Source organism: Homo sapiens, chromosome 11 (assembly GCF_000001405.40).
Source record: "Homo sapiens chromosome 11, GRCh38.p14 Primary Assembly".
Lineage (NCBI taxonomy): Eukaryota > Metazoa > Chordata > Mammalia > Primates > Hominidae > Homo > Homo sapiens.
The window spans coordinates 10,380,511-10,395,231 of NC_000011.10; the positions used below are offsets into that span (position 1 = coordinate 10,380,511).

Sequence of the window (14,721 nt, forward strand, 5' to 3'; positions counted from 1 at the left end):
TGGTTCCAGGAAACAGTGGTAGCAGAGTGAAATGAAACAGGGAAAGGAAGGAAGCCAATACAGATGTGTTATCAAACAAGATACCACTGTGGGTAACTGAAGCTTAGCCTCACTGAAGACTCTGGGAGACAGTGTACAATATGCATCCCCATGTTAATCCAACCTAGGGTCCAGAGATCTGGGTCTTTTTTTTTTTCTTTGAAACAGAGTCTCACTCTGTTGCCCAGGCTGGAGTCCAGTGGTGTGATCTCAGCTCACTGCAACCTCTGCCTCCTGGGTTCAAGCGATTCTCCTGCCTCAGCCTCCCGAGTAGCTGGGATTACAGGCATGCACCACCACACCCAGCTAATTTTTGTATTTTTAATAGAGATGGGGTTTCACCATGTTGGCCAGGCTGGTCTTGAACTCTGGACCTCAGATAATCTGCCCACCTTGGCCTCCCAATGTGCTGGGATTACAGGCATGAGCCACTGTGCTCGGCTGGAGATCTGGGTCTTTATGCACCAACTCTCATAAGTCATTGGCTGAGTGATACTCCTGACCAGGGAGTGGATTGGGTGGCTAATTTGCCAACACATCCTTCCTACTGCGTACATGGGAAGAACGAGCTCTGGTGGCCAGAGCTTCAGTCAAGAGCAACAGATGTGGTGGTTAGAAGTTGGGCTGGTGGGTCTGAAATGGATAGTGCTGAGGGGACATAAGAAGGGCACAAGTCGCATATTTGCCCATCCCTGTATTGTGGGCAGTCATGAATTGACTTTGCTTAAAAAAGCTCATCCCTTTTTTTTCTGTGCTTGTATCATTGACCCTTTATGATTAGTCAATTCTCTTTATTTATTTTTTTTGAGACCAGGTCTCACTCTGTCACCCAGGCTGGAGCATAGTGGTGTGATCATGGCTCACTGCAGTCTCAACCTCCTGGGCTCAAGCGATCTCCCTACCTCAGTCTCCCAAGTAGCTGGGACTATAGTTGTGTGCCACCATGCCAGGGTAATTTTTTTATTTTTATTTTTTGTAGAGATGGGTCTCACTATGTTGCCCAGGCTGGTCTTTAACTACTGGGTTCAAGTGATCATCCTACCTCAGCCTCCCAAAGTGCTGGGATTACAGGTGTGAGCCACTGTACCCAGCCTCTTTATTCTTTAAAATAAGTTTGTTAAACTGAATCAATTAGGTTCTGTGCTTCCTACTTCTTACCCCAGAATAGTCTATGATTATTGCTTTCTACATGTTCTAGTTTTATTTATAATGTGGGGGTTTAAAATTTTTACTTCTTAGAATTTTGGGAGTGCCTTGCTGATGACCACATGTACTGCTTAAAGGAGGTGGGATGGGGAGAAGGAGAAATAGATCAGTAACTAGAAAAGGAGAAACATTTAGAAACAAAGTATTTGATGGGTTCTGAACTTTTTATGCAACTTGACCACAAATTCTTAAGTTCATCTGGAAGAAAAAATGCAGAAGTCTAGCCAAGAACATTTTGAAAAAGAACAATAGTGAAGAATTTTCCCTATTAGATATCAAAATATACCATAAAGCTATAGTGGTTAAAACATTGTGGGATTGGCACAAGCATAGACAAATAATTCAGTGGAACTGAACAGAGACTCCAGAAACAGATTCATCTACATGTAGAAGTTTAGTATATGATGAATATGGTATTTCACACTTGATCTTAGCCAAAAGCCTGAGAAGTAATGAATACGGTATTTGAAATGACAGGGCACAAAGAGGGGAATAAGGGTGAATATTATAATAGATGATGTTCTTAGTTATCTATCTGGGAAATGATTGGATTAGAATTCCTATCTCACACATATACAAATGAAAATAAATTTTCAAATGGATTACGGAAGGAATACTAAAGAACAACACTAAAATGTTTTAGAACAAAACATTTGAGAGCAGTTTTTCAATCTTGGAGTGGGAAAGACCATTCTGAGATTCTAAAATTGAGAAGTCTTAATAAGAAGGGGCTGGTAGATTTGACTACATAAACTCGAAAACTTTTTTGCAAGTTAAGACACCATAAAAACATTAAGAACACAAAAGAAAGTTTTTCTGCATCTCTGCCCCCTCTCTCTGGTGTCTATCTTTCTAAGTCTGGCCTCTCTCGAGTCCCTGTCAGCTTGTCTGAGTCTCGGCTCCTCCCGGTGAGTCTCGGCCTCTCCCACTCTGAGTCTTGGCACCTCCCACTCTCTGAGTCTCGGCTCCTCCCACTCTGAGTCTTGGCTCCTCCCTCTCTGGGTCTCAGCTCCTCCCCCTTTGAGTCTCGGCTCCTCCTTCTCTGAGTCTCAGCTCCTCTCTCTCAGAGACTCTTCCTCTTTCCCTGTCTTGGCTCCTTCCTTCCTGAGTTTCAGCTCCTAGCTCTGAGTCTCTGATCCTCCCTCTTTGGTTTTCTCCCCAGTCTTGTCTCCTACCTTTTCACTCAGGTTGTCTCACAATCTGTTTCCTCAAGAAAAGTAGACGAGTCCTGGACAGACAAATGATGAGTTTCATTCATAGACTGAGGAAGCAATAAGGAAAAAGGAAAAAAAAAAAGAAAACAGCATGGGAAAGATTTGCAGTGTATATAGAACAAAATATCAAGATTCATAAGGAATATATAGTAAGTATAAATCCATCAAAAAGGTACAACTGGCCAGGCGCGGTGGCTCACACCTGTAATTCCAGTACTTTGGGGGGCCGAGGTGGATGGATCAACTTGAGGTCAGGAGTTCCAAACCAGCCTGGCCAACATGGTGAAACCCCATCTCTACTAAAAATACAAAAATTAGCCGGGCGTGGTGGTACACGCCTGTGATCCCAGCTATTCAGGAGGCTGAGGCAGGAGCATCACTTGAACCTGGGAGGCAGAGGTTGCAGTAAGCCAAGATCACACCACTTCACTTCAGCCTGGGTGACAGAGTGAGACTCCGTCTCAAAAACAAAAACAAAAAAAAAGGCGCAACTACCATGAGAAAATTGGTTAAAGGATATTCACAGGCAATTCAAAGACACTGAAATGTGTGCAGCTTAGTAAGTGCTGTGATGCACCCGGCTCCCTCCTTCAGAGCCGGGTACTCCTTCTCCAATGCTGGGAGTCTCAGTAGCCTGTGGTTACTCCGTGAGTCTCTCTCTAGGAGTCGTCATTTATTCAGAACAAAAGTATATCCTAGCTGGGCGTGGTGGCTCACGCCTGTAATCCCACACTTTGGGGAGGCTGAGGCGGGCGGATCACTTGAGGTCAGGAGTTCAAGACCAGCCTGGCCAACACGGTGAAACCCCGTCTCTACTAAAAATACAAAAATTAGCTGAGCATGGTGGCGCATGCCTGTAGTCCCAGCTACTTGGGAGGCTGAGGCAGGAGAATCACATGAACCTGGGAGGTGTAGTTGCAGTGAGCCAAGATTGCGCCACTGCACTCCAGCCTCGGCAACAGAGAGAGACTCTGTCTCAAAAAAAAAAAAAAAAAAAGAAAGGATATCCTGCCATTCCTATGAGAGAAGTCACAGAGAAGTCTGAAATACACAAAAAAGTCTTTATAATTAAGTGGTCTTCACTTTTTTTTTTTTTTTAAATACACAGAATTTTGCTCTTATTGCCCAGGCTGGAGTGCAATGACACGATCTCGGCTCATCGCCACCTCTGTCTCCCGGGTTCAAGTGATTCTCCTGCCTCAGCCTCCTGAGTAGCTGGGATTACAGGCATGCGCCACCATGCCCAGCTAGTTTTGTATTTTTAGTAGAGACGGGGTTTCTCCATGTTAGTCAGGCTGGTTTCGAACTCCTGACCTCAGGTTATCTGCCTGCCTCAGCCTCCCAACACATTTTTATAATTATAATTGAAAATAGTCTTCACAGTTTCATTATAATAATCATGTCAATTTCCTAAGTTTTTAAAATTTAATTTAAATTAAAACCTTGAATTTCCTTTAGTTTTTAAAATTTAAGGACTTAATTCTCTTCCACATAAAAAAGTGGCCCAATTTCAAGGACTTCATGTCTAAAACACCAAAAGCAATGGCAACAAAAGCCAAAATAGACAAATGGGATCTAATTAAACTAAAGAGCTTCTGCACAGCAAAAGAAACTACCATCAGAGTGAACAGGCAACCTACAGAATGGGAGAAAATATTTGCAACCTACTCATCTGACAAAGGGCTAATATCCAGAATCTACAATGAACTCCAACAAATTTACAAGAAAAAAACAAACAATCCCATCAAAAAGTGGGCGAAGGACATGAACAGACACTTCTCAAAAGAAGACATTTATGCAGCCAAAAAACGCATGAAAAATGCTCATCATCACTGGCCATCAGAGAAATGCAAGTCAAAACCACAATGAGATACCATCTCACACCAGTTAGAATGGTGATCATTAAAAAGTCAGGAAACAACAGGTGCTGGGGAGGATGTGGAGAAATAGGAACACTTTTACACTGTTGGTGGGACTGTAAACTAGTTCAAGCATTGTGGAAATCAGTGTGGCGATTCCTCAGGGATCTAGAACTAGAAATACCATTTGACCCAGCCATCCCATTACTGGGTATATACCCAAAGGATTATAAATCATGCTCCTATAAAGACACATGCACACATATGTTTATAGCGGCACTATTCACAATAGCAAAGGCTTGGAGCCTACCCAAATGTCCATCAATGATAGACTGGATTAAGAAAATGTGTCACATATACACCATGGAATACTATGCAGCCATAAAAAAGGATGAGTTCATGTCCTTTGTAGGGACATGGATGAAGCTGGAAACCATCATTCTCAGCAAACTATTACAAGGACAAAAAACCAAACACCACATGTTCTCACTCATAGGTGGGAATTGAACAATGAGAACACATGGACACAGGAAGGGGAACATCACACACCGGGGCCTGTGGTGGGGTCCGGGGGATGGGAGAGGGATAGCATTAGGAGATATACCTAATGCTAAATGACGAGTTAATGGGTGCAGCATACCAGCATGGCACATGTATACATATGTAACAAACCTGCAGGTCGTGCACATGTACTCTAAAACTTAAACTATAATAATAATAAAATTTGAAAAAAAACCAATTTGCATTTATGTAGATGACATGTTATTGTCTAAACCAAACCTTTTTTGGTATTTGTTTGCTTTTACGTCAGGCTTTGAAGTTGCTAAGAAATTTGCTCTGCCCTCCCTACTCTCCTCGAAGGAGATGTGACCTGTTCCCTGGATTACCCTAAGGATCCACCACCCTTCAGTAACCGAGGGGGCCAAGGGCCAGGAAAGCGGGCAGCAACTGAATTCCTCTCTGGGATCTGACTGTCCTCAGCAGAGAGAAACACCACACGGACTGGAGCAGAGCCACAGTTCTGTGAGCTGTGAGTTCGTCAGAGAGATGTCCCTGACAACAACAGCTGGGTTTGTGATTGTGATTTCCCTGGCAGCTCTGTGAATCCATGTGCTCATCTTTCCTGACATGAGCCTCTCCCCCTTGCACAATGCAATGGGGTTTTTACTATCCACCTGGAGCAGTTGAGGTCCAGAGAGGCCAAGGAAATAAGCGAGAAGGACAACAGCAGGATTCAAAGCCAAATGCCACATAGCGTACATGCCTGAATGAGGGCATGGGTTCCCTAAGAAGCCCTCCCTTCCTTTATGCTCCACAGGCTCCTGTGCCATTCCCAATTATGCCCCGTTGGAAGTATCTTGGAATTCTTTAACTATTCTTGTACACAGCTCTAACACCTCTGATTGTCAGGGATTCATGTATACCTGTGGAGTCTAAAGGGTGCAGCAAAGCAGTTAATTTTCTCAGCAAATCATCCACTGGTCCATATAGCAGCAGCCTTAGATAGGCAAATCGGTGTTCCCTTTGCCCTCTTTGCCTCCCTTATGACCCCGTTTCTTTGCACTCCCTGGCCTCCCCTTGGATTCCTACTCTGTTATAGAGTGATAGCATCACATCCTGAGGTCTTCAGGAATTAACGTCTTTCAAAATAGTCAGAGGAGCATCATAAAACAAGTCTTTCTCAATCCCAGCACTTTGGGAGGCTAAGGAGGGAGGATCGCTTGAGCCCAGGAGTTCAAGCCTAGTCTGGGCAACACAAGGAGATCTCGTCTCTTAAAAAAATGTAAAAAATTATCTGGGTGTGGTGGCATGTGCCTGTGGTCCTAGCTATTCAGGAGGCTGAGGTAGGAGGATGGCTTGAGTCCAAGAGGTTGAGGCTGCAGTGAGTTGTGACAGCACCACTGCAGTCCAGCATGGGTGACAGAGCGAGACTGTCTCAAATTCTCACGCCCCAAAACCCAAGTCATTCTCTTTCTAATATTGATTGCCTTCCATAGCTTGTGGTTTTTATGCTAACAGAGTTTCTGCCACTCTATGGTGACTATCTAGAGACAAACCTTCACTACAAGAATGGTGGGGTTATATGTTGGGAAGAAGTGGGCAAGGGGAACAGGAAACCTCATTATGCTACCACCGCTCCTCTCCCAGGTGGCGGACCCCTTGAGGGCAGGGATGTGTCAGAATCCCGCCTGTCCCCACACTAAGCACAGGGTCTGTTGCAAGGGGAAAGCTCAGTGAACCTTGGATGAGTGAATGAAAATACTCGGGCTGTAGGAAATCAGCCCTCAACGACATCCCTGAAGCCCGTGCCTCCTTCATATGTGCAACCCACTTTGTCCCCCACCCACTGCCTCTGGTGTGACTCACTTTCATTCATCCATTTACCAACATTAAGAACTATGTTCACTGACTGTGCTGGAGCCCTCTGGAGGGGCCAGACAACCCCAACAGTTGCAACACTGTCTTCCGCTGCTAGGATGGGGTCGACACAGGGCACGGTGGGGACGCAGAGGAAAAGGGCTGGATCCAGACACGGCAATTGGGAAAAGCTTGAAGTTCTTTCTAGAAGCTGTAAAGTTCCGGGCCAGAGGTAGGGACAGGGCGAGGGGAGCCAGCAGAGAGAGAGAGCTGGCCTGCAGTGGGGCCAACAAAAAATGTGGCCAGCCGCTGGCCAGGAAGGGGAGTGAGAAGCCTCAAATGAAGCTTTGACATTGTTTTTCTTTCTTCTGGAGTGCTGCCATGTGCCGCCACACAGAGCATCTCACGGGTAGATGCGTATTATTGCAATGTGTTTATCTAGGAAACCAGAGCCCAGCTCCAGCATCTGGTTTTCAGCACAATCCTGAGTGAAGTCCAATTTTCCAGTTGGGTTAATGAAAATAAAACTTGGGAAGTTGTGGGCTGGCTGCATCAGGGGCTGAATTCTGGGCTCATGCAGGGCCATGGATTGCAGAGCCGGAAGGGCTTGGGCAGGTCATGGATTTATTGTGGACAACCTTGCATGGGGAGGGAGTTGCTGCCTGGCCTGGCTCTGAGGAACACGCCTCACAGAGGAATGATGTCTTTGGATTTTCTCTGTCTTAACCTGACACCAGTTGACGGAGCACCTACTTTGGCTGAAACACTGGGCTGCGTTGTGGGGCAGGGGTGAAGCACAGGTGTGGACCAGTGCCTGAGCCCAGCTTGCTCGAGCACAGTGCAGCCAAGGAGAGATGCCCGAACACACAGGCATCACACAGGTGGACTGCTGAGTGGGACCCTGATAGCTTGTCAGGGCTCACCACTTTGAAGCTGTCTGGAGACCTGGGATCCGAGAGAGACTCGTTTTTAAAAGCCAGCTTAAAAAAAGGCGTAGCCAGGTTTCAGGGAGACCTGGAAACCAGAACTAAAAGTCCACTGGCTCTCTTTGCATCTCCGTCTGCAAGTCTTGAGTATTTGTTTCATGTTTCTCTCTCCTTGCAGAACAGGTTTCTCTGATCTTCAGACAGTGTGGCAGAAAACGCAATTGCCCTACAGCTCCTGAGTCCACATGAGCCTCTTTATCTCTCTCTCTTTCTTCCCCCACTCCAAGTTCCTTGGGGTAAAGGTGCTAGTTAGCTCTGGCAGGTGACAGGCTCACTATTGGTAAAATCAGAGGTGGCTAGGGGGTCAGAGTCACATGTATGAATATGGCTAAGAGGAGCCCACCCTGAGGTCCCATGCCTGGGGGTTCTTGTTTATAGAAAGTGTTTAGTAGTGAACTGCAAGTCACAGACAGCTGCTTCTTTGATGTGACTCCACCCTTGTGAGGGAGACAGGACAGGGAAATGGGGGCCAGCCATTAGTGTGAGAGTAAGGCTGGACCCAGGGCTCCTGACTCCCAGCCCAGTGCTCTTTCCACACTCTGTTCCGCTGGTCCTGATGTGGAGCCAACAGTTTTGAAATGGACTGTGCCTATGTGGTTTCCCCTCGGGAGCAGCTGCAGAACGAGCAGTGTTGATTAAATAGGATTTTGTTGGCAGGCCTTGGAACGAGTGGGGAGCCAAACACCAGTGGTGTGGCTAGCTGCAACCCTTGGGGAGGTTATCAGAAGGCGTGTGTCATAGATCCTGGACAGGGTGACCTCTCACAGGGTGTCAGGATCCTGGGGGAAGGATGGGCCCTTACCAAGGATGGTCTTCCTTACCCCAAGGTTGCTTCCTAGACAGAATGTAGGGAAGGCCCAGGCAGGGCAGGGAGGAAGAGCCTCTCTCTCCTGAGTCTCACCTCACACTAAGGAATCACACTGAGTCATAAAATGGTGTTAGGGGAAGAGGCCTTTCTCTGAAGCTGGAGAGGAGGGTCCCCAAGGCAGGCCAGAGAGCCAGTTCCTAAAGGACTATAAGGGGTAGGACATTTGGTGTCTCCTTGGTCATCCGTAATCCTGCTGAACAATGACGCTTTCCCTCATTCCACCATCTTGGTGTGGGAAGGGATACTTATGTTTTTCAAGATGCTGTCAGTTTTGTGTGCACCTTGCTGTCCCTGCAGCTGTCTCTCCAGCACCTCATGCCTGGAGTCACTGATGTTCCCACTTCCAGGCCTGAGCCCATCCGGGAGCCTGAGCCAATACTGAAAACAGCCCCAATCCCATTCCATGGGGCTTGGAGTCATCTTCCTGCTGGTAGCACCAGGCTGGGCTTCCTGCTTTGCTGTGTTGGTATATCCATAGGACTGGGGTCTCGCCTTGGTCTTTCTTCCTAGTTCACTTGGTTATATTTCCTTGAACCCTTCCTGTGGGTCTCTACCCACGTTTTAAGCCTTCCTGGGGCTCTATACCTGCTTATAAACTTTGGCCCATTCCTCCAGCCACTGATGAAGGGAACCCTGGGCATGGTGATGAACCTTCACCTGGCTTCATGTTACCTCCCATCTCTATCATCTCTGCCAACTGGCCTGGCTATCTTTAATAGTGATGTCAACTAGGGATGACCTCTGAACAGTTTACCAGCCCATTTTGCAGCTGGGCTGGAACCTGTGGCTCAGGGTTAGTGAGGAGGCTTTCTCCATTTTCTTTGTTCTTCTCCTTGGCCCTACATTCTTTCTCCATGAGCCCATTCTAATGACACTTGGCATGGGCTATGCTTCCTGTCCCACTGAGCCATGCCCAGGAGTCTTCTCTCCTTTCCATTTGTCTCCCTTCTGTTGGTTGCAAAGGTCATTAGGAGTCCATTGACAGCAGCCCATCCCCCAGTGAGTAGATCTCCTCATGTACTGGTAAGGGTTACTGACTGCAAGATCACATTCCTCATGTAGACATCTCCCAGAGTATTATGGGTCATCCCGCATCAGCTCATCAACCCATGTGATTAACCTGAGTCAAGGCAACTCTGGCCAAAGTGAAGAAGGAGAAAGTCAGACTATATATATTCTTTATTTTTTGGTTTTAATTCTCCCTGTCATGATGCAGGCAGGTATTACCTGAGCACATGCAAGCCTGACTTATCCTAATCTCTTTCTCATCTAGGTGCTAAAATGACATTTTCTCTGAACTTGGGACTATAGAATTCTTGCTAGTGCAGGGTCTGTTCTGTTCAGTCACCACCCATTCCTCAGACATGGTTTCTATTGCCTTTTGCCCACAGCTGAAATTCCCCCATCCATCCATCCATCTATCCATCCACCCATCCATCCACCCATCCAGTCATCTAATAAATGTATCTGCCAAGTCCTGTGTAAACAACTCAGGCATGGTTTCTTCCTGCAAGGAGCCTTGTGTCTGCCTCAAGCCCTGCCTCTGTCTGGCAGGACCTGGACTGTCTCCAGCTGGACTTGCTAATATGTCTCCAGTCTAGGCTCATTCTTATGGGGATAGCAGACAATGGCAGGGAGACTGGCAATAAACATGTAAACATATAATTAATTGTCAACTGCTAATTGGCTTAATGTTATATAAAGAATAAGACTGCAAAAGAAAATGACAACAAATTATGAGGGCACCTACTTAGGAAGGGTATTAGGAGTAGGCTTTCTGAGGAAGTGACCTTTAAGCTAAGATCTGAAGGATGTCATAGGGGAAAAAAATGTGCAGAGAACAGAAAACAAAAAGTGCTAAGGCCCTGAGGTGGAGAAGGAAACATGTTCCAGAACTGGAAAGAAGCTTGATGTGGCTGAAGTACAGCAAATGAGAAAGTGGCATAAAATGAGACCAGGGAAGAAGGCAGGAGACATATTCATGCACAGCTTTTTGGCCTTGGTGAGGAAGTTATAAAAGGAAAGAGCTAAAGCAGAAATTGATGTGATCTGATTTAAAAGATTGCTCTAGCTGCTACGTGGAAAATAGATTGGAGAGGGGGTCACATGGAAGCAAGGAACTGCTGGTCTTTTAGCCAAGGGATGATGGGTGGCTTAATTTGATGGGACAGCACTGGAGACAAGTTTGGGGTATAGAGTAGGATGTGGTGGGCAAGGGAGACTTCATGTACTTTTGCCACATTTCTGCTTGAGAAACTGAGTGAATAGTGTAGGGGTGGGTTGCCCCTCCACACCTGTGGGTGTTTCTCGTAAGGTGGGACGAGAGATTTGGAAAAGAAAAAGACACAGAGACAAAGTATAGAGAAAGAAATAAGGGGACCCGGGGAACCAGCGTTCAGCATATGGAGGATCCCGCCAGCCTCTGAGTTCCCTTAGTATTTATTCATCATTTGTGGGTGTTTCTCGAAGAGGGGGATGTGTCAGGGTCACAAGACAATTGTGGGGAGAGGGTCAGCAGACAAACACGTGAACAAAGGTCTTTGCATCATAGACTATGTAAAGGATTAAGTGCTGTGCTTTTAGATATGCATACACATAAACATCTCAATGCTTTACAAAGCAGTATTGCTGCCCGCAGGTCCCACCTCCAGCCCTAAGGCGGTTTTTCCCTATCTCAGTAGATGGAGCATACAATCGGGTTTTATACCGAGACATTCCATTGCCCAGGGACGGGCAGGAGACAGATGCCTTCCTCTTGTCTCAACTGCAAGAGGCATGCCTTCCTCTTATACTAATCCTCCTCAGCACAGACCCTTTACGGGTGTCGGGCTGGGGGACGGTCAGGTCTTTCCCTTCCCACGAGGCCATATTTCAGACTATCACATGGGGAGAAACCTTGGACAATACCTGGCTTTCCTAGGCAGAGGTCCCTGCGGCCTTCCGCAGTTTTTGTGTCCCTGGGTACTTGAGATTAGGGAGTGGTGATGACTCTTAAGGAGCATGCTGCCTTCAAGCATCTGTTTAACAAAGCACATCTTGCACCGCCCTTAATCCATTTAACTCTGAGTTGACACAGCACATGTTTCAGAGAGCACAGGGTTGGGGGTAAGGTTATAGATTAACAGAATCTCAAGGCAGAAGAATTTTTCTTAGTACATAACAAAATGGAGTCTCCTATGTCTACTTCTTTCTACACAGACACAGTAACAATCTGATCTCTCTTGCTTTTCCCCACAAATAGTGGTGTCTTTAACTGAGATATGAAGATCACAAGCAGAGAAGCTTCCGAGTTCAGGGAGGAAATCCAGAGTTCGGATTTGAGCATGTTAAGTTTGAGATCTCCGTTAGACATCCACGAAGGTCAGGTAGGCACTTGAATAAATGAGACTGGAACTCAGAAGAGGCTTGGGCTGGAGCGAAAGCTGAATTGTCAGCATATGGAGAATAGGTAAGGTAGGAGGGACACCCTCTTATCTGTTTCCCTGGGAGCCTTGCACTAAAGCTAAGGTCTTTCAAACAGACTTGAGTAAAGGCATCAGGGGTGGGGGACCTGGAATACCCTTCCAATATGAGGGCTCTTGGGTTCCTGCAGGGCCAGGACTGTGCATAATAGTGATTCAACTGGGGCAGGAGAACTTTCTTGGCTCCACTGGGGCTGGCCTTTCTTAGGATTGTTTTAAATTCCATTGATTATTCTTTGCTTTGCTCTGGAAACAACTACTCTTTATGTAAGCCCTCTCTGAAAGTGACAAATCATGGAAAAATTCTTTTGGATTTGAATGCAGTGAAGGCAGAGAGGGCGCATCTTGCTTTGTGGTGTGGAGGCCATGCTGAGGATGTGCCGCGGGCCAGAGAGCTGGAAAGTGGGTTCAGGCAGCCAGGCTGAGTCAACCCTTCACCCCTGAGAAACCCACGCAGAGCATCACGTGATGTGGAGGAACAGGGGCACTGAGTCAGTCTAATATTCAAGGCAGGAAAGGTAGAATTGGAAAGGGAGGAGAAAATGTCATTTTGGTGTGGCAGGAGAACACGACATGCTTCTCTGGCTGCCAGGAAGAATATTTCCTGCCTAGGGCTCTGGATTCTCTATGGCTGAGCTCTCTGGGATAGAGAAGGAGGGAGATGTTCATTCCCATTTGGAGATGTGGGCTGTTTTCTTGGGGCATCTGGGCTGGTACTTGTGAAAAGGATAGGACTTCGATAGGTACAGTTTTCCCTTTACCTGCTGAACCCTTCTGCATGTCAAAAAAATAAAATAAAATAAAATAAAAAAGTTCCCAACTTGACCTCAGGGACCTCCTTCCCCCTACCATGGAGATTCCTGCTGCCACTCTTCTTGGCTTTAGAGGACACACTTGAGGAAGCAGAGTCTTTTCTGATGAGCTCCTTGTCCCTGCTTACCAGATGTAGTGATTCCTGAGCTCCTTCAGGGGTGAAGTGTCTCAGCAGTTCCTTCCTGAATCGTGCCTCTCCTCTCCTCTGGCTTTCTCTCTCAGCTCTCTCTTCCTTTGTCATATTTTTATTTCCTCACTTTCCCTCCCACAGTGGAATGAAGCACCGTATTGAGTAGAGGCTGTTGGTGTTGGCCAGAGCTGTAGAATGCTGATGGAGGAACAGGAAGTAAGTGAGGAAGGGGCAAGGGTGCTTCTAAGTGCTCTGTGCACTGACCCAGAAGGTCCTTTTTGGAGCCACAGGGCTGTGGTCCTGAGCATGAAAGAGGAGGGCTGGGGTGAGGATCAACACTCCAGAGGGCCAGGAAAGGGGGAGCCACTGTCTCCATGGGACATTTCTGGAAGACAGTTTTCGAGGTGGTATAGTGGCACGACAGTTATTAAGATAATGATGAAAAAAGATTAGAGGAAGCAGCATTGAAAGCAGCAGCATAAACTTGTGGAGATGGGGGTCAGTGTGGCCCCGATGGTCCTCCTCCCTCCATCACCCTTCTCCCACCCCTAGGTGTGTCACCCTGAAGCTAAAACTGGTCCTGTATGGATGAGGCAACATAAATGGGAGGCAAGGCAGCAGCTGTTGAAAATTCAATCGCGGAGGCCTCTTTGGGGCATATGTGGCCTAGGAGTGGCTGGCACAGAAGTGCTGGAAGTAAAACCACCCCTGCCCCTTTCTTTTCTCTCTACCTCTTATGAGTTTTATGGAGTTAGTATTCCTCCCCTGGACAAAAACTCCAAAGGCCTTCCGACTTCCTCAGTAAGATCCAAAGTTCTTCTCATGGACTTAAGACCCTCTATGACTTGGCCTCCCACCCCTTCTCCTGGACTCTCTTTTGTGTACTCTATTTTGGCTGCACTGGCCTCCTTGTTCCTGGAAGATGCCAGCGTGCCATGCCACGCGGCTTCACATCTGCTGGGCCCTCTGTTGGGACGCTCTTCTTGCACAGTGCCGCCTGGCTCACTCCCTCACTCCTTCTAGGCCTCCGTTCAGAGGCTCCCTTAACAAAGAGGCTTTCTCTACACACCCCACATCAATTAGACACTTTCTTCACTCACACTCCCACTCGCCTTACCATGATTAATTTTTCTTCGTAGCTCTTTATCATCACCACATAACATATTCTGTATCAATCTCTTTACTGTCTATCTCTCTCTGCCTGAATGTCACTGTTTTGTTTGCTGCTGCATTCCCGATGCCTAGAAGAATGTCTGGCACATGCAGGCTTTCAATAAATATTTGTTGAGTGGGTGAATGAATGACTACATCTGACGAGAAGAGAGGCTTTGGTCACTCTTTAGCATTGATATGTAATCTGTTGAGTGCGTGTTTGCTGCATTTATCAACATTCTTTTAAAACTAGATTCATTTTCTGATAGTATTATCTCATCAGTCAGGGGACCGCCTGAGCATTAGGCCACAAGCCAGGCTATTCCTGGAAGGATTGCAGGACAGGCTTGCAGGATGATGCACAGGCTGGTACCCTGGGGCTCTTCATGTTTGAGAAGAGAGCCATGGCACTTCTGGGATGTTCACAGTGACCTCACTCTTATTTGATTTTCCCTGGAAGACACCTCAGGCTACTTCCTTCTCTGAGGATGAAGTAGAGGAAAGGAGTGTATTATTAGTCAGGGCTCTCTAGAGAAACAGAACCAGTAAGATATCTACCCATCCACCCTATTGGATATATATCCTATCGAGTATATAGATACACACATACATACAGGAGGAAGAGAGGGGGAGGG

General features: G+C 46.7%; 1 long non-coding RNA gene across 1 annotated transcript in view, besides 2 other annotated features; it reads left to right on the forward strand.

The window, feature by feature from the left end:
* Positions 1-14,721, forward strand: part of CAND1.11 (uncharacterized LOC100130460) — a 122,361-nt gene that overhangs the window by 72,198 nt on the left and 35,442 nt on the right. The window lies entirely within an intron of this gene.
* Positions 6,912-7,206: a silencer, noted in NCBI's record as "tiled region #7754; HepG2 Repressive non-DNase unmatched - State 22:ReprW". NCBI's record gives its function as "represses a minimal TATA promoter and a strong SV40 promoter by Sharpr-MPRA in HepG2 cells {active_cell/tissue: HepG2}" and the evidence as "EXISTENCE:reporter gene assay evidence [ECO:0000049][PMID:27701403]".
* Positions 11,804-12,683: an enhancer, noted in NCBI's record as "H3K27ac hESC enhancer chr11:10413861-10414740 (GRCh37/hg19 assembly coordinates)". NCBI's record gives its function as "activates a minimal SCP1, AML or CMV promoter by ChIP-STARR-seq in primed H9 embryonic stem cells {active_cell/tissue: H9 hESC(primed)}" and the evidence as "EXISTENCE:reporter gene assay evidence [ECO:0000049][PMID:30033119]".